General features: G+C 35.5%; 1 protein-coding gene and 1 pseudogene across 4 annotated transcripts in view; one reads left to right on the forward strand and one right to left on the reverse strand.

Moving 5' to 3' along the window:
• Window positions 1-25,531, reverse strand: part of FAF1 (Fas associated factor 1) — a 523,240-nt gene that overhangs the window by 406,272 nt on the left and 91,437 nt on the right. For 3 of the 4 annotated variants that reach the window (NM_007051.3, XM_047442745.1, XM_047442743.1), the window contains one exon: window positions 14,630-14,698. In NM_007051.3, the coding sequence (NP_008982.1) occupies window positions 14,630-14,698 (69 nt within the window). Of the gene's footprint in view, window positions 1-14,629; window positions 14,699-19,562; window positions 19,599-25,531 lie in introns of those variants that run through there. The other variant, XM_024452734.2, reaches the window with a different exon arrangement.
• MRPS6P2 (mitochondrial ribosomal protein S6 pseudogene 2) lies at window positions 3,047-3,841 on the forward strand (annotated as a pseudogene).

Below are 25,531 nucleotides of genomic sequence, written 5' to 3' on the forward strand. Positions count from 1 at the left end.
CATGGGATATTTTGATACAAGCATACAATGTACAATGATAAAATCTGGGTAATTGGGATAACCATCACCTCAAACATTTATCATTTATTTGTGTTGGGGACACTCCAAATCTAGCTATTTAAAAATATACAATAAATTATTGTTAATCATAGTCAGTCTATTGTGCTACAGAACATCAGAACTTATTCCTTCTATCTACTTTTGTACACATAAACCAACCTCTCTTCATCCCCCGCTCCCTACCACCCTTCCAGCCTCTGGTTACCACCATTCTGTTCACTACCTCAATGAGATCAACCTTTTTAAGCTCTCACATATAAGAACATACAATATTTGTCTTTCTGTGCCTGATGTTTTATTTAACATAATGTCCTCCCGTTCTACCCATGTTGCTGTAAATAATAGGATTTCATTCTTTTTATGGCTGAATGATATTCCATTGTGTGTGTGTGTGTATTGCATTTTCTTTAATTCATTCATCCTTTGATGAACACTTAGGTTGATTCCATATCTTGGCTACTGTGAACAGTACTGCAATAAGCATAGGGGTGCAGATATCACTTCAAAATACTGATTTCCCATATTTTGAATATATACCCAGCTGTGAGAATTGCTGGGTATATGGCAGCTCTTTTAATTTTTTGAGGAACCTCCATACTGTTTTCCATAATGGCTGTACTAATTTACATTCCCACCAACAGGGTTCAAGTGTTCCCCTTTCTCTGCATCCACCAGCATTTGTCATTTTCTGTCTTTTTTATAGTAGCCACTTTAACCAGGGTGAGATGATATCTCATTATGGTTTTGGTTAGCATTTCCCTGATGATTAGTGATGCTTAGCATTTTTTCATGTACCTGTTGACCATCTGTATGTCATCTTTTGAGAAATGTCTATTCAGATCATTTGCCCATTTTTTAAATCATAGTATTTGTTTTTCTGCAGTTGAGTTGAATTCCTTATATAGCCTGGTTTTTAATCCCGTCAGGTGAATAGTTTGCAGATATTTTCTCCCATTCTACAGGCTGTCAATCACAACTGATTTTTAAGATGCTTTGAAACAAACATGGCTACAGGGAGAAATATGTGTACGTGGCAGATACTTAGATATTCACTTTTTCTTGCTAAACCTGTACATAATTCCATAAACTTAATATATTGCTTGAGGCAGACACTATCAATGGCCTTTGCGCACAGCAAAATATAACTGAACAGAATTGGCTTAAGTGTTAAAACTGTTTGTCATATCTAGTATACCGGAATCTGAATCTAGAGTCTGAAGACCTGGGCTTCGAGTTTTCATCCCACAGCAGTGTCAACATAATGATGGAGCCAAGAAACTGATTCGGGAAAAATGAATACAAAGAATCTGGAAGATAATGTGAAGGTAGCAGTATCAATAAATTAGAGATGCTACTGTGCTTCAAGTATTTTCCAAGTCACGTTATGGGTATGAGATGGTGTGAGAAAAGAGAGGTACCTGAAAATAAGATTATAAAGGGGCTGTCAGTGATTGGTAATCATAAAGTTATGGTCAAGATTATAGCAGAGGGTGCCCTGAGCAAGATAAATGTTTGAAAGGCTGTGTGGAAGAAAAGATTTTAAGTACCAAGGAACAGCGATTCCAAATAAAGGTTCAATAAAAGAAAAATAAAGGTTTAATAAAATAAAAGGTACAGAAATGTAAAATGTGGTGGGACTTCCAGCTAACTTAAGTCAACACTGACTGCTTACTATCTGTCATCCAATATCTCCATCTGTCTCAGTTATCAATTTATTGACTCTCAGATCCAAAAGCATCCTTCAATTATGTTCTGTGATTTAAGAAAAAAAAGAAAAATCTCTTTAGATATCTCTCTCCTTTAAAGTAAGCATGATATTAACCTTTCTCTGTAAAAGGCACTGGAAGGACACTGCAGAAGGAAGATGTACGCCTGCAGTTTCTGGCTGCAACTTGGGAACCAGCAATATGAGCGTAAGGATACCCAGTATTCTCAGCCATGGGTCCAGAACACTCTCTCTCTGCAACCTTGCAGTCTTAGCCTACCAATAACCTTTCCATGGCCTTCTCAACATGCAAACGAGTGTTCAAAGGCCTCCTGTCCACCCACTAGGACTCTGACTTCCTCTGTAAAACCTTGTACACAGCCTGCCTGTGGTTAGAGGGTTCGCACCAGGCTGCTGCTCCTGCAAATTGCCCACCACCATGTACAGTCTGTCCATGCACAGAGGGACCCCACACTCTTTGCAAGCCCACTGTGTACCCACTCTTCTGCTTGCTGATTTGCTCCCCCACCTGCACAGAAGATGCTAACTGCTTGTCCAGTGACTACGAACCAGCCCTAGCCTGGTGTAGCCAAACCAGTAAGCATCTTTTCTATTCAGTAGGCTGAACTACATCTTCAACAATATGTGAATCCCTTCTAAGTTTGCCCTTCCTTGGGACAATTTCTTGGGAGAAATTTCCTGGGAGAAATAAACCTCAAACGAAACCTAACTCAAAATTATACTCAAACTCTTAGCATAAATAAAGGAAGACTCGTGGCCAGGCGTGGTGGCTCATGCCTGTAATCCCTGCACTTTGGGAGGTCAAGACGGGTGGATCACCTGAGGTCAGGAGTTCGAGAACAACCTGGCCAACATGAGGAAACCCCGTCTCTACTAAAAATACAAAAAATTAGCTGGGCGTGGTGGGGCACGCCTGTAATCCCAGCTACTCAGGAGGCTGAGGTAGGAGAATCACTTGAACCCAGGAGATGGAGGTTGCAGTGAGCCAAGATTGTGCCACTACTGCATTCCAGCCTGGGCAACAAGAACAAAAGTGAGAAAGGAAAAGAAACGAAAAAGGAAAGAAAGGGAGACTCGTTTCCAGGCATAAAATCTATTTGCCTTTGTCTATACTATGCTACATACGATGTACAGCTTTCAATAAAAATTACAATGCATACAAAAAAAAAAAAGAAAAGAAAAAGTACATTTGCAAGTGACAAGCTGTCATCAGAAACAGACTCATGCATGAGGGGGCCCAGGCTCATGCAGCTGAAGCATGCTTTTGCCGCCCAGGAGACGTCAGGCCCGGCCACCTCCAGGTCCCCGCCATCCCTGCCATCCCGCCCCTTCGCGTCCTGGGAACCAGCTCGCTTCCGAGCCGCACGCATCGAGCCTCCAGGCATGCCCCGCTATAAGCTGGCTTTAATCCTGAAAGCCATGCCGCGGCCAGACTGCTGCTGCTTTGAAACATACGATAGAGGTTCTGATGGAAAAAGGAGCAATAGTGAGGAACTTGGAAAACCTGGGTGAGTGAGCGCTTCCTTGTAAGATCTCCACCCACAATCAGTGGCACAACAGAGGCGGGTATTTCCTGGTGAATTTTTATGCACCAACCACAACTGTTGAAAGCATGATGGAGCACTTCTCCAAACGTAGATGTGATTAGACCGAATATTGTCAAACACCCTCTGACCCAGGAACTAAAAGAATGTGAAGGGATTGTCCCAATCCCACTTAAAGGAAAATTATATTACACAAAGAAGAGGAAGAAGTGAGAAGATTCACCAGGAATTAGCCTTATATTTAATCCCTTCATATTTGAGCAGCATGGATGAGAAGAAATAGTTTACAAGCTTGGCCTTTTATATATAAGAGTGTATTGCAGGTGCTGTTTGATTTTTCTGAGATATTTTTAGCCCTTGATCCCCTTTGCTGCAAGAGGTGAGGAACTGCTCACTGACAGCTTCTCTGTAATCTGTGATACAAGCGGATCATTCTTGATTTTGTTTTCATTTCTTTGTCAGTGAGGACTTTTCCCCTTACAACAGTAACACCATTCTGAAGAGCAAAACTTGTAATACCACCTGGGATTGTGAGTTAGTCATTCAGACTGCATAATCATGCAGAAATAAAAATTGAAGACTAATGTATTAATTATATGGGCAATTTTGGCTTTGATAATAAACGTGATTTTAGAAATTAAAAAAAAACAGACTGAGATAGGACACAGATGTTAGAACAGGAAATTTTAGATGACTATGATTAATATGCTAAAGGCTCAAATAGAAAAACAGACAATACCTAAGCCAGATGGGTAATTACAGCAAAAAAAGATAAACTATGCCTGAAATTAAAAAAAAAAAAAAAACAGTAACAGAGATGAAGAATGTCCACAACAGTCTCATCAGTAGAACTGACACAGTCAAGGAAAGAATAAGTGAAATTGAAGATAGATCTATAGAAATTACTAGAGCTACAGAAATTACTCAAACTGAAACACACTGAAAAGAACAAACAAAAGCTGTAGAACAAAAAACAAACTATTTAATATATGCATAGTCAGAATCTTAGAAAGAGGAGAGAGAAAGAAAAGAAAAAATTAATCATGAATTTTCAAAACCAACTAGAGGGAGCTGGTGGGCTCACAACATTGTGAATACACTAAATATCCCTGAATTGTATGTTTTAAAATGGTTAACTGTATATTATATAAATTTCTCCTCAATAAAAAAGAAAAATATTTCAAAATCACAGATCCAAGAGCACCAACAGCACCCAAGGCTGTAAGGCTTTAGAAACACACAAACAAATGCACACATATACACACACACACACACACCCCTCTAGGCATATCATATTCAAACTATGAAAAACAAACACAAAGAAACATCTTAAAAAAGGCTGTCAACACAGAATTCCATATCCAGTGAAAGCATCTTTCAAAAATGAAGAAATAAAAACTTCCCCAAACAAAAAACTGAGAATTTATTGCCAACAAATGTACTCTACAAGAAATGCTAAAGTAGTTCACCCAGAAAGAATATGCCAGACAAAAACTTAAACTTATACCAAAAAATAATTTAAAAAAAACAATGGAAATAAAACAAATGATAATTAAATTAACTTTCCCCCCACATTTAATTGCTCAAACAGATAACTGACTACCAGAAGTAAAAACAGTAGCAAAATATTATGTTCCTGGCATATGCAAAAGTAAATTGCATGACAAAAATAATACCAAAAAAGTGCGAGAAGAATTGGAAATACAATGCCGTATAGGGCTGTTAAATGAAGCAGTATTATTACCTAACTGTAGAATCTGTCTGATTATATTGTGAAACCTAGGATAACTACTAAAAATAATTTTAAGAGGTATAATTATGTCAATGGAGAATAAAAAATTCATTGGCAAAAGTTTAATAAGAAACAGGATATTTGCATAGTCTCAAAATATTTCCCACAAGATACTTACTAATTACAAAGGGAAGCATGGTAACTCTCCATTGGAGAAAACTGGGAGACGCTATCTTAACCACATGTCAAAGTTAACAGCACCAGTAATAACACATATTGACATCATATACCTCCTGTTACACTATGAAAAATAAAAAATCACACCTGTGATATTCTTTCCAAGAATGCATAAACTCACTCTCTCATGAAAAAACATCAGACAAACCCAAACTGAGGAACATGCTCCAAAATACCTGATCAGTAATCTCTCAAAGTGTCAAGGTCATGGAACAAGGAATGGCTGAAGAATCAGCACAAGTTGGGAGAGGCTACAGAGACGTGAAAACTAAATGTATTGTAGACATTAAATGTGATCTTGAACCAGAAAAAGCACACTAGTAGAAAATCTAGTAATAGTCAGATAAGGTCAGTAGTTTAGTCAATAATATTGTACTAAGCCAGGCGCAGTGGCTCATGCCTATAATCCCAGAACTTTGGGAGGCCAGGGTGGGTGGATCACAAGGTCAGGAGTTCGAGACTAGCCTGGCCAATATGGTGAAACCCCGCCTCTACTAAAAATACACACACAAAAAAAAATTATCCAGGAGTGGTGGCACATGCCTGTAATCCCAGCTACTCAGGAGGCTGAGGCAGGAGAATCGCTTGAACCCGGGAAGTGGAGGTTGCAGTGAGCCAAGATCACAGCACTGCACTATAGCCTAGGCGACAGAGTGAGACTCCGTCTCAAAAAAAAAAAAAAGAAAAAAGAAAATTACCAGTAGCACTATGCCAATTGTTGTGTACTGTATTTATAAGATGTTAACATTAGCAGAAGTTTGAAAAAGGGTATTTAGAGCTCTACACTATTTTGCAATTTTTCTGTAGTTCCTTTACATTTTTAGATATCCTTGCATTCTAAACACACTGCTATCACTCATTATACATTTTAAAATATTAATCCTCTGTGCAGTAAATCAATTACTAAGAAAAAAATAAGTCCCAAAATTCAAGCATAGAATTTGTGAGAGTGCTATTGGACTTGCCACACTCCTAAAATATAGACTATATTTTAGTCTATACAGACTATATAGACTATAGTGTACTATACAGAATGACTGACTATATAGGCTACTAACCTCTAGACTATATAGACTACTAACCTCTAGAACTATACGTCAGTTTTGGCATAAGTAAAACATAATAAATATCCTTGTAAAAAAAAGAGTCAAAATGCCAACATGTTGGTAACAACATAGCATTACATTAGAGCTACTTAAATATCTTCAAAGACATCTACACAGCCACTAGTCATGGCTTTATTAAAGGTATCATATAATGCATTTCCCCTGCTATATCTATGAATCAAAGTGTACATTTATCAATACAGCTCTTCCTTACACACCCTAGCTGGAAATCATTTAAATCCTTTCAACAATACACATTCTCTTTAAATGCAGAATTGTGTGTGTGAGGGAAAGAGGCAACAAAATAGTGTCAGGTGTCCCTACTGAAAGAATAGTCTGTTAAGGAATAAAAGGGATAAAACTTCGGGTCAGCTTTAAAGGAAAGATGAAATTTGGATAGTTCCTGAAGGGTTAGGAGCTACGAAAAAAAAAAAAAAATTGAATGGTCAACAAGAAATAGAGGAAAACATCCAAGGGAGATCTATAATAGCAAAAAACTTAGAGGTAGAAATACATACGGCATGTCTGAGAATATAGGCTAACTAGCTGGATTACGAAGCTATACATACTCCAGGAGTTATGGAAACTCATTCATGATGAAGAGGAGGGGTTAAATGCTAGAACTTTCAACATTAAGCTAAAGAGGAAAGCCCAAATCCAGTAACAGAGGCCTTTAAAGAACAATTCCATTATTCAGTTTCCTGTAACTAAAGCAGATGTATGTACACAAAGATTAATCTCAGAAAACCTTGGAATCTGAAGAATTATATTTACCACATAGATAAATTTTAAACTTGGCTTTTTAAGATATAGAGCAAGTATGTGTTTGAGAGAAACTGAGTACATGCACAAGAGATGAAGTATTTAGATGAGCATAATATAAAAATATAAAATATTAAAAAATAACTAAAGCATCAAATTAAATCAAATCCAAAAACATCTTATTAAAAGATAAAAAAATGAGTACCTGGCAGGTATAAGTAGGAAACAGAAATTTTGTACATGAACACTTTAATTAATATTTTACTTAAAGATAGAGAAGTATAACTAGAAATTTTAAGAAATTATATTATCATTAAATAGCAAATTTTTAAAAAACTGACAGTATGAACAGGAATTTTAACTGTCATATTATTTTTTCTTTTCCAAGTACACACTGATTTATGTCAGCTGATTTTTGAAACTAGCAAGAAGAATTGCCAAGGCATCATATTTACAGGTGTGCTAAACCACTGACTTTGCTACAATGATATTTTGTTTAAACTTCCAGTAATAGAAATTAAATCAAGCTAAATTGTAGGTTAGTAAGCTTTAAAAAATATCAGTACACAGTGCATCTGATTGATATGAACAATCCTAAAAATGGAGCAATTTACATTTTTTTTTTTTTTTTTTTGAGACAGTCTCACTCTGTCACCCAGGCTGTCATGCAATGGTGCGATCTCAGCTCACTACAACTTCTGCTTTCCAGGTTCAAGTGATCCTCCTATCTCAGCCTCCTGAGTAGCTGGGACCACAGGCATGCGCCACCAAGCGGGGCTAATTTTTGTATTTTTTGGTAGAGACGAGGTTTTGCCTTGTTGACCAGGCTGGTCTCAAACTAAGTGACCCACTCGCATTGGCTTCCCAAAGTGCTGGGCCTATAGGCGTGAGCCACTGCACCAAGTCTAAATTTTTATTTTCTTTTAAATATCCAAGTCGTTAAGCAGCATATGCTACTTCTTTCAGAATTAGCATGAAGCCTCTAAATTGGTTTTCCCGCTGTGAGCTGAATCCCTATTTCATTTAGTTTATTTTCTAAAACATATATTTATACTGCCAATTTACATAAGTAGTACTAGATATCAAAAAACAGTACATATTAGCCACATTTCCAAATTGCATTCAACCATGGGCACCAGCGTGTTCTGCTAGATGATTAACACAGCACATTTTTACTGGGTCCTAAAGCCTCTGAACTGTTGTCTACCATAGATTTTATAAAACAGATGTTTCTTTCATGCAATAAAGTAATTCTAGAACTAGATTATAGGAAAAGTGATACAACAGGTAGAGCAAGATCCAATGTAAAAATAAGCAGAAGGTAAAATTGCCATCAAGAAAAACTGTGAACCTCAAAAGGTTTCAATTTGATCAGGTAAACCAATGTGAGTTTAGTGAACTGAAAATTTCATGTTTCTAAAAACTGAGATTTTCCTCGGAAAGGTAAAAAAAAAAAATTCTTTCATAACTATTTAATTATAGTTTAGCAGTGTTTTATCACCCCAAGTTTTCTCCTGAGAATCAGAACCGATAAAAACTTTCAAATAGGTTAGGCTATATAATGAGCTTTCCTTATATAGAATGGCACAACCAAATATAAACAGGAAAGAAAAAAAGATTTGTATGACATGCTTAGAAAAAAAATGCAAAGAAAAGATTCATGAAAAGTATTTCTCAAAAAAAGCCACAATAGGTAGAAATCATGTAATTTTACTAGTTAGATATCAAAACTAACCCTTTCTTATTCCTTGGGTGTCTGGGTTGTCCCGCTCTTTCCTCAAACCTTATGTTTGCCAGACAAGAAAAAGTAATATCAGTAAGAGTCAGAAGTCTTAACAGCAAAGACGTTCAAATATCCAAACAATAGAGAAAGAACAGACCTAAAAGTAAGCTTGCTAATAACTCAATCAGTCAAGTATTCATTAGGCAATTACTATATGTCACAGACAAAATTAATAAGAAACACAATTCCCTTCCTCTAGAACTGAGAATCTATTTGAAAACAAAGCAGAAATGTATTTAGAGTAAAGCACTACTATGTGATTACAGCCAAAGCTCAATATGATATTATTTATAAGTGGTAGGAAGAAAAAAGCCAGTACAGAGAAGAAAAGCATACTAGGTAGGGAAAATGTGATAAGTAATCTTAAAATGTGGTTTACCGCTATGACAATTCCTCATGAACTGACAGGCCTGGGTTCAAAACTTTACCCCTTAACAGCTATGTGAGCTTGGACAGTTTACTTAACTTCATTAGCCCTCAGTTTCTCATCTATATAATAAAACTAACATTTACCTATTTACTTTTGGGGACTGCTGTGAGGATTAAGTGAAATAATGTAAGTGTATCACTGGATATGATGCCTAACACAAAATAAACCCTCAATTAAAGAAGAGACAATAGAAGATGGAATGGTTGTCAGGTTAAAAAACAGAGAAATTGAAAAATTTTGTAAATAATGGGCTGTAGCAAAGAAGCAGAAATTGATATGATGAGCTATTCTTTCACAGTAACTTATCTTTTGTTGTAGCAAGCATCTGTGCAAATATAAACCAGTGTCTGATAGCCACTGATGAAGGGCAGTGCTCAATGCTTGGCTGCTTTCGGATGAGGACAGAGACTCATTATTATCAATGGTTAGTCTATTCATTCATAAAACTGCAGGTGTTCATAACACTGTATAAAGTAGAAAAGCAGTGCACATTTGAGGACCTCTACAGCCACATCCTGAGCAGAGTAGTGGAACTGCTACATGAAATTTTAGGGCAAACATTAAGATATGTTCCTTCAAAAGTGAAAATTGGAGGAAATTTCTCAAAGTACCTCAATGGATCTTAAAATGAGGCAGATTATGTGCAGTACAATTTTCCTTAGTTTTGACTCTTCAGTGTATATGACTGTACTATAAGCTTCTATTAGTACAAAATTATCTTCGAGGACTAAAAATTCCATGACAATATAGAAACACATATGCGGATTTGTTTCACTCTTGTAGGTTGAAACATGTAGTTAAAGACAAATATAAGCACTCTGAATAGAGTCTTTCTTCAGCAAAACAGCAATGTCAGCACAGGCAGCAAACTACAGCAGAAATTGAGTGCAAAGTTCAAAAATCATTTCCTAAGAGTATCAAGTACTTAAAACGTAGTATGGCTAGGTTAATGTTTACTTTCACTTTATTTCACTTAACATTGGGTTATCAAGTATATGTCAGATATCTTTCCCTGGATCTGCTACAGATTATTGGAAATTTTAATTTATTGAAGGAGTTTCATATCTAGAGACCGTGTGTAAAATAAGTGGCAGAGCATCTTCTCCTGCCATCATCTACACTATAAAGTTGTCAAAATAATTTTTAATAGTATGTATACAAATGTTTCAAACTTATGAAGATCTATTAAAAATCTGTACTACTATTTATAATTGACTGCTATTCATTGAATTTTAACAAAAAATTAGGACAAAATAGATCCTTCAGAAATACTTCATATATCATGGAAGCTTGAGTATAATCTAGGGTACAAACCCTTCATTTTATATGAGGAATTCAGAAGTTAGAGAGAAGTAACTTAGCCAAGGCCATACTCAATAAATTACTAAGAGGTCTGAAAAGCCAGGGCTCTTCATTCAATTAATGCAGTGTGTTTACCACTATAGCTAACATTTTGATTAGTCAAAATTACACAAGCCATATAGATTTTTATTCTCCCCTGACCCAAATTCTTCTATAGTGAAAACAGAAAGTGAGACGTGGGTCAATTCTGGGGCCCAGATTAGAATTTATAATGTTCATGTAGCACACTTCCACGGAAAAAGACAGCCCTTTGGTAAAAGATTCTAACTCACTGTCACTAGTTCTTCCTTATGTACTTACCTTTCTGGGTATAAATGGAAAATACTCATCTCAAGGGAGGAATCTCAGCTGTAATGACATTCATCTTCTCTTAACTCTAAGCGCAGGACAATGTGAAAAATGGTAACAGTCAGAGGGAGATAACCTTGGGACAGACCTACAGGGTTCCTGTCAAGTAAAACAGTAGGCTGAGACATTTCCTAAAAGTATTAGTACATGTAACTTTGTTTTCAGAATTTTGACATATATAATCTAACCTGCAGTTACCCCAAAATAAGTGGAGCCAAGTGTAGAGTACTTAAAACATAGAGTTTGGAATACCTCTTTTGCAGACAGCAGCCCACATAACAAAAATAATGTGCCAGGTCTGGGAAAGTGACTAATAATCAGAACTCCTAGGACTGGGCTCTATTTTCCTATAGAATAGCTGTTATCAGTGTGTTTAGATCTACAAAATAGCTAAAATATTTGCAATCACCGTTTTTTTAGGAAGTTACTTTGAGCATCCCTAATCCAAAAATCCAAAATCCAAAGTGCTCCAAAATCCTAAATCTTTTGAGTGCCAACATGATGTTCAAAAGGAAATGCTCGATGGAACATTTTGGATGATGTTTGAAAGGAAATGCTCGATGGAACATTTTGGATGATGTTTGAAAGGAAATGCTCGATGGAACATTTTGGATGATGTTTGAAAGGAAATCCTCGATTGAACATTTTGGATTTTAGATTTTTGGATTAGCGATACTAATATTCAACAGTATAATGTAAATATACCAAAATCTGAAAAAATCCAAAATCTGGACATTCTTTTGGTCCCAAGCATTTCGGATAAGGAATACTTGACCTGTGTAATACACACAGATCAGAGATCATGTGTCTTATTGATTTTTTAGCACAATTCTCAAAGTTAGAGACTACATCTTGTTATATTTTTTAAGCCCCCACTCTTTATCTAGCAAAAATCTGGATGCACTGTAAGCACTCAGTGCTCACTGAATGTGTTTTTTTATTAGATTTTTTTTAAGTTCATCACAATTCCAGATTGTAGTGCCTAACTCAGATTCCTTTACATTTCCCTAGCAAAAATGTGCACAAAAACACTGGAGAAGAGGTCCAAGTGATATGTGCAGGAAATATAAAATACAGACATATCCGAGGTTACAACTCAATTAATGCAAACTGTTCTGTAAACCCTAGAAAATGCAGATCAGTGATAGTCATAATTTATAAACACAAACTATAACACACAGGCAAAATATAGAGGACATCACATAAAGTTCCATGATGCTACTGAAAAGTTTAAACTAGTGATGGATTATTCAAAATATTTGTTTCATTTTTAAAAACAACAAAGTGAATGCTGCATGAAAACAGGATAAATGATAAAATGTAAACAGCAAGATAGTTACAAAGCACAATAAATCTTTACTGTGAATAAAAGTGAATTATTTGTGAAGAAAAGCCAGCTAGGAGATAGACATATCTCAAAAGAAAGCCAAAATTTAAGGTTCTGAAAGATAGCCTGATGTTTTTGCTTGGGCCTGATACAGTGTATGATTGCATTTCTGCACAAATATAACACCAGTGTTTTAACCCCAAGTGTTGTTAGAATATTCTCCAAAATAAAATAACTCAGAAATAGTGGAAGAGTACCTTACCATTCAATTATTCAACATTATCTGGGAAAATTCTCCTTTTACAATATTCTGCATAGGCTGTACTGATAAAAATATTCACTACCAGTAAGTGTTTTAACCTTCAAAATTAGTGGACACGAACCAATAGGAAGCAGATAAGGAAAGAACATATATCCATCCCCAAAACTGGTAATTCCTCCATTAAAGACTTGTACTCCCAGCCCACCATCACCCTTTCCTCTATTCCATATCCCTCTTACAAGTATCATGCAAGAGGGGCTTGGAGGAATTTTTAACCACCCCAATAACTTCCATCAGCCTCTCTAATAGACACTCCCAAAATATACAACTAAATAAAGCAAAGCACTTATTATTGCAAAAGAAGACTCAAGACAAGAAACTTGGGAGCATCGTTTCGATTAAGCCACTGCTCTTTCTCCCTTCCTCTACATGGCAATCATGGAGCTGTCACCTATATCATGCTTTGTTGGAGTATAGCAACAATGGTTAAAAGCATGAATTTAGAGTCAAGCTATACAAATATTTGTAAATTTTGACAAGTACCAAAACACAAAAAAGATAAGGAAGCATTGGTTTAATGAAATGGAAATATCAAAAATATACATAGTTGGTAGAATTTTAAATTAGTAAAACCAATCTGGAAGTCCATTTGGTTAAAAGTATTCAAAACTCCAAAAATATGCATGTAATTTGCCTCAGAAATTCAATTATGAATTGAATTTATTCAATTTCTTCTGAAAAAAATAGGTTAAATATGTAACATGTATATGCAGGAATGTTCTCTACAGTAATGTTCATAATAGCAAAATGCTGCAAAAATCTTAAATACCCAACAGCATAGGACTAGTTGGTTAATTATGTTACAGTGACACTATGAAATACTATGCAAACATTAAAAAGAATGATGAACAGCCACAATTAAGTGAAAAATGCAGATTACAGAACAGAAGGTATAAAACAATCTCAGTTGTCTATTTTTTAAATTTAATCACATAATTATAGAAGATAATCTGGAATAATATACCTTAAAAATGTGAAACAATTATTATCTGAGTGATGGGATTAAAGGTAATTAATATTTTCTTTGTAAATTTTTCATCTCATTTCATTACATTAAGCATCATTACTTTTAATCTGAAAAGAAAAGCTTTTCATATTTTGAGTTTAAAAAAGTATTAAGTCTACATAAAGCACACAGACACCAAGAGTTAATTATGTAAGTCCACATAACATATGTGTGCATATACCTACATATCTAAACTCACTTCTATAAGTACACATCTTAAGTTTTGACTTTTGAAAATTAGCACTTCTTCAAAATTATAATTTAAACTTTTTTTTTTAGCATTTCTAAGGCATTAAGAGACATCTGTGTCATCCTGACACAACCAATACTGCTCCAATGCCATTATACAATCCATTTTTGGTTTGCTTTGTAATAGGTGAATGTTTAGTGCTATGCTGTGCCTCGCCTTTTGATTACTGCCAAAAAAGAAAAAACTAAGCCACCTCTATAATATACTGCCTGAAGTTTCTAAGGAAAACCATAGCAGAATGCAACTACTTTAACAGCTTTAGAAAAGATTAATTATCAGTGAAGGCCCCAGAAGTGAGGGGGAAACATCAAATATGTTATTCAGACAGACAACTCTGACTCTTCTCTCCTTCCGAGCATCTCCACCAAAAAATTACGTGGGAAGATGAACCATAACACACAGTAAAATAAGAGAAAAACTTTAAAAGTCAATTAAATTATCTAAGTATTCATAATAACTTAATACTGAGCTAAATATAAACTTCATATTAAAGATATGGCATTTAGACTTTATTAACTCAGCTTAGAGTTATAGATGAGCTATGGTATGCTGAACCCATCTATAAAAAATAATTAAAGACATTCAAGAATTCATAAAATTTGATTACTCATCAGAGAAAGAAAAAAGTACTTACCACTAAGTCCCAATTATTTTGTTCAAGCAATGTAATAGCTTCGTCAATGTTTTCAATGCCAGTACATGCCTGGAAAGAAAGTAAATAAGCATTTTACATATAATTTTAGAAATAGGGAGGTAAATCAGACTTAAAAATGTAAATAGCATAATATGTAATTTAAATTCAAATAGGTATATGAATAAAGCCAAAACACTAAAAGTTTAACACTTCTAAGCATTTTACATATATGGTGTGAACATTGTTAATTACAAAGTAAATTTACATTGCTCTGAAAAAAAGACAATAAAGCAGGAAAAGAAAGTATATTTAAATTTTGAGCTTTGATACCCAGGATGATCTCTAATTACCAAGAACAACTTTTAGTCAAAGATTCTCATGGGCAACCACATGTAAAACAAATGAATTTCAACCCATACCATGCACTTTATATAAAAACTAACTCAAAATATATAACAGACCTAGACCTAAACTAAAATCGAAAACTATAAAACTAGATCTGTGCTGTCTGATAGCCACTACCAGCCGCTCTCTGGTAGCTGCTAGACACATGTGGCTAGTGAGTCCTTGAAATGTGGCTCAACTGAGTTAAGATGTGCTATAAGTACGAAATACACACCAGGTAAGACTTAGCACCAAAATTAAAAATGTAAGCTATCTCATTAATAATTTTTCCTCTGAATACATGTTGAAATGGAAATTTTTGACATACTAGCTTAAATAAAACATGTTAAAATTAATTTCACACATTTCTTTTTACCCCTTTAACATAAATACTAAGAAAAAATTAACTACATATATGAAATTATATTTCTGGTGTTGTTCTTGAAAAAAATATATGAGGACATACTTGTGACCAAACTAAGCAAATATTAACTAGCAGGATGCCATTTTTAAGCTGGGCACATTAATAAAGTCAGCCATTCTCTGGTGACCCAGCTCATGGCAGTGTAGGCATTTTATTCTCAGGCCACCAAACCAAATCCAACAGCACATCAAAAAGTAAATTAACCACAATTAAGTATACTTCATTCTTGGGATACAAGGTTGGTTGGGCATATGATTCACCACACAAACAGAATTAAAAGCAAAAACCACACAATCATCTCAATAGATGCGGAAAAAGTTTTCAATAAAACCCAACATCCCTTTACAAGGAAAACCCTCAAGAAAGTAGGCATCAAAGGAATATATCACAAAATAATAAGAGCCTAACTCACACCTAATATACTGAATGGCCAAAAACTGGAAGCATTCCTCTTGAGAACTGAAACAAGGCAAGGATGTCCACTCTCACCACTTATATTCAACATAGTACTGGAAGTGTTGGCCAGAGCAATCAACCAAGAGAAAGAAATAAAAGGCATCTAAATAGGAAAAGAAGAAGTCAAACTATCTCACTTCATAAATAATATGATTCTGTATCTAGAAAACCCTAAAGACTGCAAAAAGGATCCTGGAACCGATAACTTCAGTAAAGTTTCAAGACACAAAAATCGATGTACAAAAATCAGTAGCATTTCTACACACCAATAACACTCCAGCTGAAAGCCAAATCAAGAATATAATCCCATTTACAATAGCCACAAAGAAAATGAAATACCTAGGAATGTGGTTAACCAAGGAGATGAAAGATCTCTACAAGGAGAACTACAAAACACTGCTGAAAGAAATCAGAGACCACACAAATAAAAAACATTCCATGCTCACAGGTTGGAAGAATCAATATCATTAAAATGGCCACACTGCCCAATGCAATCCAGAGATTCAATGCTATTCCTATCAAACTACCAATGTTATTTGTCACAAACTAGAAAAAACTAAAATTCATATGGAATCAAAAAAGAGCCCAAATAGCCAAAGTAATCCTAAGCAAAAAGAACAAAGCTGGAGGCATCACATTATCCAACTTCAAACTATACTGTAAGGATACAATAATCAAAACAGCATGGAATCGATACAAAAACAGACATAAACACTCATGGAACAGAATAGAGAACCCAGAAATAAAGCTGCTTGCACAACTACAGCCATTTGATCTTCAACAAAGCCTACAAAAATAAGCAATAGGGAAAGGACTGCCTATTGAATAAACAAACAGTGCTGGGATAGCTGGCTACCCATGTACAGAAGAATGACACTAGACCCCTACTTTTCACCATACACAAAAATTAACTCAGGATGGATTAAAGATTTAAATGTAAGACCTCAAACTATAAGAATCTAGAAGAAAACCTAAGAAATGCCATTCTGGACATCAATCTTGGCAAAGAATTTACTACTAAGTTATCAAAATCAACTGCAACCAAAACCAAAATTGACAAGTTAGACCTAATTATACTAAAGAGCTTCTGCACAGCAAAAGAAACTATCAACAGGGTAAACATACAACCTACAGAATAGGATAAAATATTCACAAACTACACATGTGACAAGATCTAATATCCAGAATCTATAAGCAACTTAAATCAACAAGCAAAAGACAAGTAACCCCATTAAAAAATGGGCAAAGGACATGAACAGACACTTCTCAAAAGAAGACGTACACATGGCCAACAAACATGAAAAAATGTTCCACATCACCAATCACAGAGAAATGCAAATCAAAACTACAATGACATACCATCTCACACCAGTCAAAGTGACTATTATTAAAATATATTTTTTAAAAAACAGATGCTAGTGAGGCCGCAGATACAAAGGGAATATTTATACACTGTTGGTGGAAATACAACTTAGTTCAGCTACTACAAAAGCAGTTTGTAGATTTCTCAACTTAAAACAGCATTTAACTCAGAAATCCCTATGTATATATTAAAAAAAAATTCATTGTACCAAAAAGACAAATTCACTCACACGTTAATCGCAGCACTATTCACAATAGCAAAGACATGGAATCAACCCATGTGCCCATCAACAATGGACTGGATAAAGAAAATGTGGCATGTATACACTGTGGAATACTATGCAGCCATCAAGAGAACTACGTCATGTCCTTTGCAGCAACATGGGTTAAGCTGGAAGCCATAATCCTAAGCGAATTAATGCAGAAAGAAAAAACAATACACCACATTTTCTCACTTATAAGTGAGAGCTAAACATCAGGTACTCATGGACAGAAAGAAGGCAACAATAAAACTGCACTACTAGAATGGGGAGAGAGGCAAGGGTTGACTATTCAGTACTATGTTGAGTACCTGAGTGACAAGATCATTTCATACCTCAAGCATCACACAATATATCTAGGTAATAAACTTCTATCTGTACTCCCTGAATCTAAAACAACAGTTGAAAAACAAAACACTAGTAGACCACATATTAAAAACAAGAGACTGCTATGGATTGAATATCTGTATCCTCCTATGGTGACATCCTAAAATCCACTATGATGGTATTTGGAGATGAGGTCTTTGAGAGGTAACTAGGACTAGATGAGGTTATGAAGGTAGAATCTTCATGATAGGATTAGTGCCCTTACATGGATGAATCTGGAGGCCATTATCCTTAGTGAAATGACCCCGAAACAGAAAGTCAAAAACCGTATGTTCTTACTTGTGAGAGTTAAACAATGGAGACACATAAACATACAGAGTAGAATGACAGACACTGGAGACTCCAAAATGTGGCAGGGTAGGAGGTAGTAAGGGACAAAAATGCTACTTATTGGGTACAGTGTACACTATTCAGGTGATAGGTACACTAAAAGCCCAAACTTTACCACTATACAATATATCCATGTAACATAACTGCACTTGTATTCCTAAGTCCATAAAAATAAAAAGTTATTTAAAAAAAAGATTAATGCCCTTGTAAGAAGAGATACCAAAGAATTTGTTTCAAGCTTGAAAGACTAGAAAGGAAAACTAAATAATTAAAAAAAAAATTTCTGTCTCCCTCACCACCCCATCAGGTGAGAACACAGCAAGACAGCAGCCATCTGCAAGTGAGAAAGAGAGCCCTCACCAGAAACTGACTACTCTGGTACCCTGATGACACACAATCAGCTTTCAGAACTACAAGGAGATAAATGTCATTTGTTGAAGCCAACCAGACTATTGTATTTTGTTATGATGGACAAATAGACTAAGACAGGAACCACTTATGACAAAGAAAACAAAGTTACAAAAATAGTTTAGAAGTCATTAAACAAACAACTGCAACCCACAGAAAGCAACGAAAAAAAAAAACACATGGGAATGAGGACCAATCTAACTTCCAGAGATATCATACTGTATGTTTTAAATGTCTATTTAAATACATGTAAAGTATGCAGAGAACCAACAAAGTATGTGGCCCATTCAAGAGAGAAATTAACAGAAGCTGTACAGAGGAAAAACAGACATCCAACTCAGTAGACAAAGTCTATCAATCATCATCTTAAACATACTTATAGAGCTAAAATACCATGAACAAAAAGCTAAAAGAAATCAGAGGAATAAAGTGTCAAAAATAGAGAACGCTGGATAGAGAGCAAAATGATGGTAACGAGCAACTGGCAAGGGCAGTGGGCAGAGGAGAATAAAGATGGGATAGTTAATGGGTACAAAAACACAGTCAGATAGAGGAATAAGATCTCGTATTTGTTAGCACAATAGAGTAACTGCACCTCACATCTCAATACTAACATCAAACGTAAATGGCCTAAATGCTCCACTTAAAAGATATAGAATGGCAGAATGGATAAGAATTCACCAACCAAATATCTGCTGTCTTCAAGAGACTCACCTAACACATAAAGACTCACACAAACTTAAGGTAAAGGGGAAAGATATTCCAGGCAAATGGACACCAAAAGCAAGCAAGAGTAGCTATTCTTATATGAGAAAAAAACAAACTTTAAAGCAACAACAGTTAAAAAAGACAAAAAGGGACATTATATAATGATAAAGGGACTAGTACAACAGGAAAATATTACAATGCTAAATATACATACACTAAACACTGGAGCTCCCATTTATAAAAGCTCTAGGAAATGAGATGATGGCAACACAGTAATAGCAGGAGACTTCAATATTCCACTGACAGCACTAGACAGAAAGTCAACAAAGAAACAATGAACTTAAACTATACCCTAGAACAAATGGACTTAACAGACATTTACAGAACATTCTACCCAACAACTGCAGAATATACATTCTATTCATCAGTACATGGAACATTCTCCAAGATAGGTCATATGGTAGGCCACAAAATGAGTTCCAATCAATTTAAGAAAATCAAAATTATATCAAGTATTCTGTCAGACCACAGTAGAATAAAATTGGAAATCGACTCCAAAAGAAACCCTCAAAACCATGCAAATACATGGAAATTAAATAATCCGCTCCTGAATGATCTTTGGGTCAACAATGAAATCAAAATGGAAACTAAAAAATTATTTGAACTTAACAATAATAATGGCACAACCTATCAAAACCTCTGGGATACAGCAAAAGTGGTACTAAGAGGAAAGTTCATACCATTAAATGCCTAGATCAAAAAGTCTCAAAGAGCACAAATAGACAATCTAAGGTCATACCTCAAGAAACTAGAGAAACAAGAAGAAAACAAACCCAAACCCAGCAGAAAAAAAGAAACAACCAATATCAGAGCAGAACTAAATGAAATTGAAACAAACAAAACTACAAAAGATAAATGAAACAAAAAGCTGCTTCTTTGAAAAGATGAACAAAATTCAGTATTTTATTGAGGATTCTTGAATCAATGTTCATCAAGGATATTGGTCTAAAATCCTCTTTTTTTGGTTGTGTCTCTGCCCGGCTTTGCTATCAGGATGATGCTGGCCTCATAAAATGAGTTAGGGAGGATTCCCTCTTTTTCTATTGATTGGAATAGTTTCACAAGGAATGGTACCAGTTCCTCCTTGTACCTCTGGTAGAATTCGGCTGTGAATCCATCTGGTCCTGGACTCTTTTTGGTTGGTAAGCTACTGATTATTGCCACAATTTCAGAGCCTGTTATTGGTCTATTCAGAGAGTCAACTTCTTCCTGGTTTAGTCTTGGGAGAGTGTATGTGTCGAGGAATTTATCCATTTCTTCTAGATTTTCTAGTTTATTTGCGTAGAGGTGTTTGTAGTATTCTCTGATCGTAGTTTGTATTTCTGTGGGATCAGTGGTGATATCCCCTTTATCATTTTTTATTGTGTCTATTTGATTCTTCTCTCTTTTCTTCTTTATTAGTCTTGCTAGCGGTCTATCAATTTTGTTGATCCTTTCAAAAAACCAGCTCCTGGATTCATTAATTTTTTGAAGGGTTTTTTGTGTCTCTATTTCCTTCAGTTCTGCTCTGATTTTAGTTATTTCTTGCCTTCTGCTAGCTTTTGAATGTGTTTGCTCTTGCTTTTCTAGTTCTTTTAATTGTGATGTTAGGGTGTCAATTTTGGATCTTTCCTGCTTTCTCTTGTGGGCATTTAGTGCTATAAATTTCCCTCTACACACTGCTTTGAATGTGTCCCAGAGATTCTGGTATGTTGTGTCTTTGTTCTGGTTGGTTTCAAAGAACATCAAACTATACTACAAGGCTACAGTAACCAAAACAGCATGGTACTGGTACCAAAACAGAGATATAGATCAATGGAACAGAACAGAGCCCTCAGAAATAACACCACATATCTACAACTATCTGATCTTTGACAAACCTGAGAAAAACAAGCAATGGGGAAAGGATTCCCTATTTAATAAATGGTGCTGGGAAAACTGGCTAGCCATATGTAGAAAGCTGAAACTGGATCCCTTCCTTACACCTTATACAAAAATCAATTCAAGATGGATTAAAGACTTAAACGTTAGATCTAAAACCATAAAAACCCTAGAAGAAAACCTAGGCATTACCATTCAGGACGTAGGCATGGGCAAGGACTTCATGTGTAAAACACCAAAAGCAATGGCAACAAAAGCCAAAATTGACAAATGGGATCTAATTAAACTAAAGAGCTTCTGCACAGCAAAAGAAACTACCATCAGAGTGAACAAGCAACCTACAAAATGGGAGAAAATTTTCACAACCTACTCATCTGACAAAGGGCTAATATCCAGAATCTACAATGAACTCAAACAAATTTACAAGAAAAAAAACAACCCCATCAAAAAGTGGGCGAAGGACATGAACAGACACTTCTCAAAAGAAGACATTTATGCAGCCAAAAAACACATGAAAAAATCCTCACCATCACTGGCCATCAGAGAAATGCAAATCAAAACCACAATGAGTTACCATCTCACACCAGTTAGAATGGCGATCATTAAAAAGTCAGGAAACGACAGGTGCTGGAGAGGATGTGGAGAAATAGGAACACTTTTACACTGTTGGTGGGACTGTAAACTAGTTCAACCACTGTGGAAGACAGTGTGGCGATTCCTCAGGGATCTAGAACTAGAAATACCATTTGACCCAGCCATCCCATTACTGGGTATATACCCAAAGGACTATAAATCATGCTGCTATAAAGACACATGCACACGTATGTTTATTGTGGCACTATTCACAATAGCAAAGACTTGGAACCAACCCAAATGTCCAACAATGATAGACTGGATTAAGAAAATGTGGCACATATACACCGTGGAATACTATGCAGCCATAAAAAATGATGAGTTCATGTCCTTTGTAGGGACATGGACGAAATTGGAAATCATCATTCTCAGTAAACTATTGCAAGAACAAAAAACCAAACACTGCATATTCTCACTCATAGGTGGGAATTGAACAATGAGAACACATGGACACAGGAAGGGGAACATCACACTCTGGGGACTGTTGTGGGGTGGGGGGAGGGGGGAGGGATAGCTTTAGGAGATATACCTAATGCTAAATGACGAGTTAATGGGTGCAGCACACCAGCATGGCACATGTATACATATGTAACTAACCTGCACATTGTGCACATGTACCCTAAAACTTAAAGTATAATAATAATAAAAGAAAAAAAAAAAGAAAAGATGAACAAAATTCACAGACCATTACCGAGATTAACCAAAAGAAAAGATCCAACTAAGCTCAATTACAAATGAAAGGGGAGATACTACAACTGATACTAACCAAATCCAACTGCATATCAAAATGAGAATCCACCATGATCAAGTGAGTTTGATACCAGGGATGCCAGGATGGTTTAATATACACAAGTCAATAAATGTGATACACCACATAAACAAAATTAAAAACAAACATCACATGATAATCTCAATAGATGCAGGAAAAGCAGTTGACAAAATCCAGCATTTCTCTGTGATTAAAACCCTCAGCAAAATCAGCATAGAAAGGACATACCTTAAGGTAATGACAAACCCACAGCCGACATTATACTGAAGTTCCAGGAAAAGCTGAAAGCATTCCCCCTGAGAACTGGAACAAGATAAGGATGCCCACTTTCACCACTTCTATTCAACATAGTACTGGAAGTCCTAGCCAGAGCAGTCAGACAAGAGAAAGAAATAAAGCACATCCAAACCAGTAAAGAGGAAGTCAAACTGTTGATGTTTGCCGATGATATAATTGTATACCTAGGAAACACTAAAGACTCATCCAAAAAGCTCCTAGATATGATAAATGAATTCAGTGTTAGTTTCAGGATACAAAATCAAATACACAAATCAGTAGCACTGCTATACACCAACAGTGATCAAGCTGAGAATCAAACCGAGAACTCAACCCCCTTTAAAATAGCTGCAAAACAAAAAACAAAAAACCTTAGGAATATACTTAACCAAGGAGATGAAAGACCTCCAGAAGAGAAACTACAAAACAATGCTGAAAGAAATCATAGATGACACAAATGGACACATCCCATGATCATGGATGGGTAGAATCAATACTAGAAAGATGACCATACTGCCAAAAGCAATCTGGAACTTCAATGCAATTGCCATCAAAATACCATCATCATTCTTCACAAAACTAGAGAAAACAATCCTAAAATTCATATGAAACCGAAAAAGTGACCATATAGCCAAAATAAGACTAAACAAAAAGAACAAATCTGGAGGCATAACATTACCCAACTTCAAACTATACTACAAGGCTATGGTCACCAAAACATCATGGTACTGGTATAAAAATAGGCATATAGACCAATGCAACAGAATACAGAACAGAAATAAAGCCAAATACTTATAGCCAACCAATCTTCAACAAAGCAAACAAAAACATAAAGTGTGGAAAGAACACCCTATTCAACAAATGATCCTGGGATAACTGGTTAGCCACATGCAGAAGAATGAAACTGGATCCTCATCTCTCACCTTATAAAAACTCAACACAACATGGATCAAAGACTTAAATCTAAAACCTGAAACCGTACAACTCAAGAAGATAACATTGGAAAAACTATTCTTGACATTGGCTTAGGCAAAGACTTCATGACCAAGAACACAAAAGCAAATGGAACAAAATCCAAGATAAATAGATGAAACTTAACTAAACTCAAAAGCTTCTGCACAGGAAAAGAAACAATCAGCAGCATAAACTGACAACCCACAGAGTGGGAGAAAATCTTGGTAAATTATGCATCCAACAAAGAACTAATATCTGGAATCTATAAGGAACTCAAATCAGCAAGAAAAAAACAAACAATCCTATTAAAAACTGGGCTAGGGACATGAATAGACAATTCTCAAAAGAAGACATACAAATGGCAAAAAAAAATGAAAAAATGCTTGACATCACTAATGATCAGGCAAATGCATATCAAAACCACAATGCGATACCACTTTACTCTTGCAAGAATGGCCTTAATCAAAATCTAAAAAAATTATAGCTGTTGCTGTGGATGTGGTGAAAATAGAACACTTTTACACTGCTGGTGGGAATGTAAACTAGTACACCACTATGAAAAACAGCATGGAGATTCCTTAAAGAACTAAAAGTAGATCCATCATTTTATCCAGCAATCCCATTCCTGGGTACCTACCCAGAGGGAAAGAAGTCATTATATGAAAAAGACTCTTGCACACACGTTTATAGCAGCACAATTTGCAATTACAAAAATATGGAACCAGCCTAACTTCCCATCAATCAATGAGTGAATAAAGAAAGTGTGGTATATATATCCCATGGAATACTACTCAGCCATAAAAAGAAACAAAATAATGGCACTCACAGCAACCTAGAAGGAGTTGAAGACCATCATTCTAAGTGAAGTAACTCAGGAAAGGAAAACCGAACATTGCATGTTCTCATTTATAAGTGGGAGCTAAGCTATGAGGATGCAAAGGCATAAGAATGATACAAGGGACTTTGGGGACTTGAGGGGAAGGGTGGGAGTCAGGTGAGGGATAAAAGACTACACATTGTGTACAGTACACAGTGCTTGGGTGATGGGAGCACCAAAATCTCAGAAATCACCACTAAAGTACTTATCATTGTAATCAAACACCACCTGTTCCCCAAAAACTATTGAAATTTTTTAAAAAAGATAAAATAAAAAATGTAAAAAAGAAAGTACTAGTATTTGCTTTCATTATTTTCTCTATTTTTTATTTCACTCATTTCTGGATTCATCTTTATTATTTCCTTCTTTCCACTTATTTGGCTTAAGTTGCTCTTCCAGCTTCTTACGGTGGAAGTATAGAGCAATGATTTTAATCCCTTCTTCCCTTCTAATGTAAGCATTTATAGCTGTAAATTTACCTCTAGGCACTGCTGTAGCTACATCTCACAAATTTTTATATGTATGTTCATTATCATTCAGTTCAAAGTTTTTTCTAAAGTTTTCCTCATGATCTGTTTTTTGGCCCATGTGTTGTATTTGGAAGAATGTTACTTAATTCCTAAACACATGCAGTTTTCCAAACATCTTTTTGCTGTTGATTTGTAATTTAATTCCATTGTGGATGGAGAACTTTATCTATATGATTTCCATCCTTGGAAATTTATGAAGACTTAATAGCCCAATAATCTGTATT

This window comes from Homo sapiens, chromosome 1 (assembly GCF_000001405.40).
Source record: "Homo sapiens chromosome 1, GRCh38.p14 Primary Assembly".
NCBI classification, from domain to species: domain Eukaryota; kingdom Metazoa; phylum Chordata; class Mammalia; order Primates; family Hominidae; genus Homo; species Homo sapiens.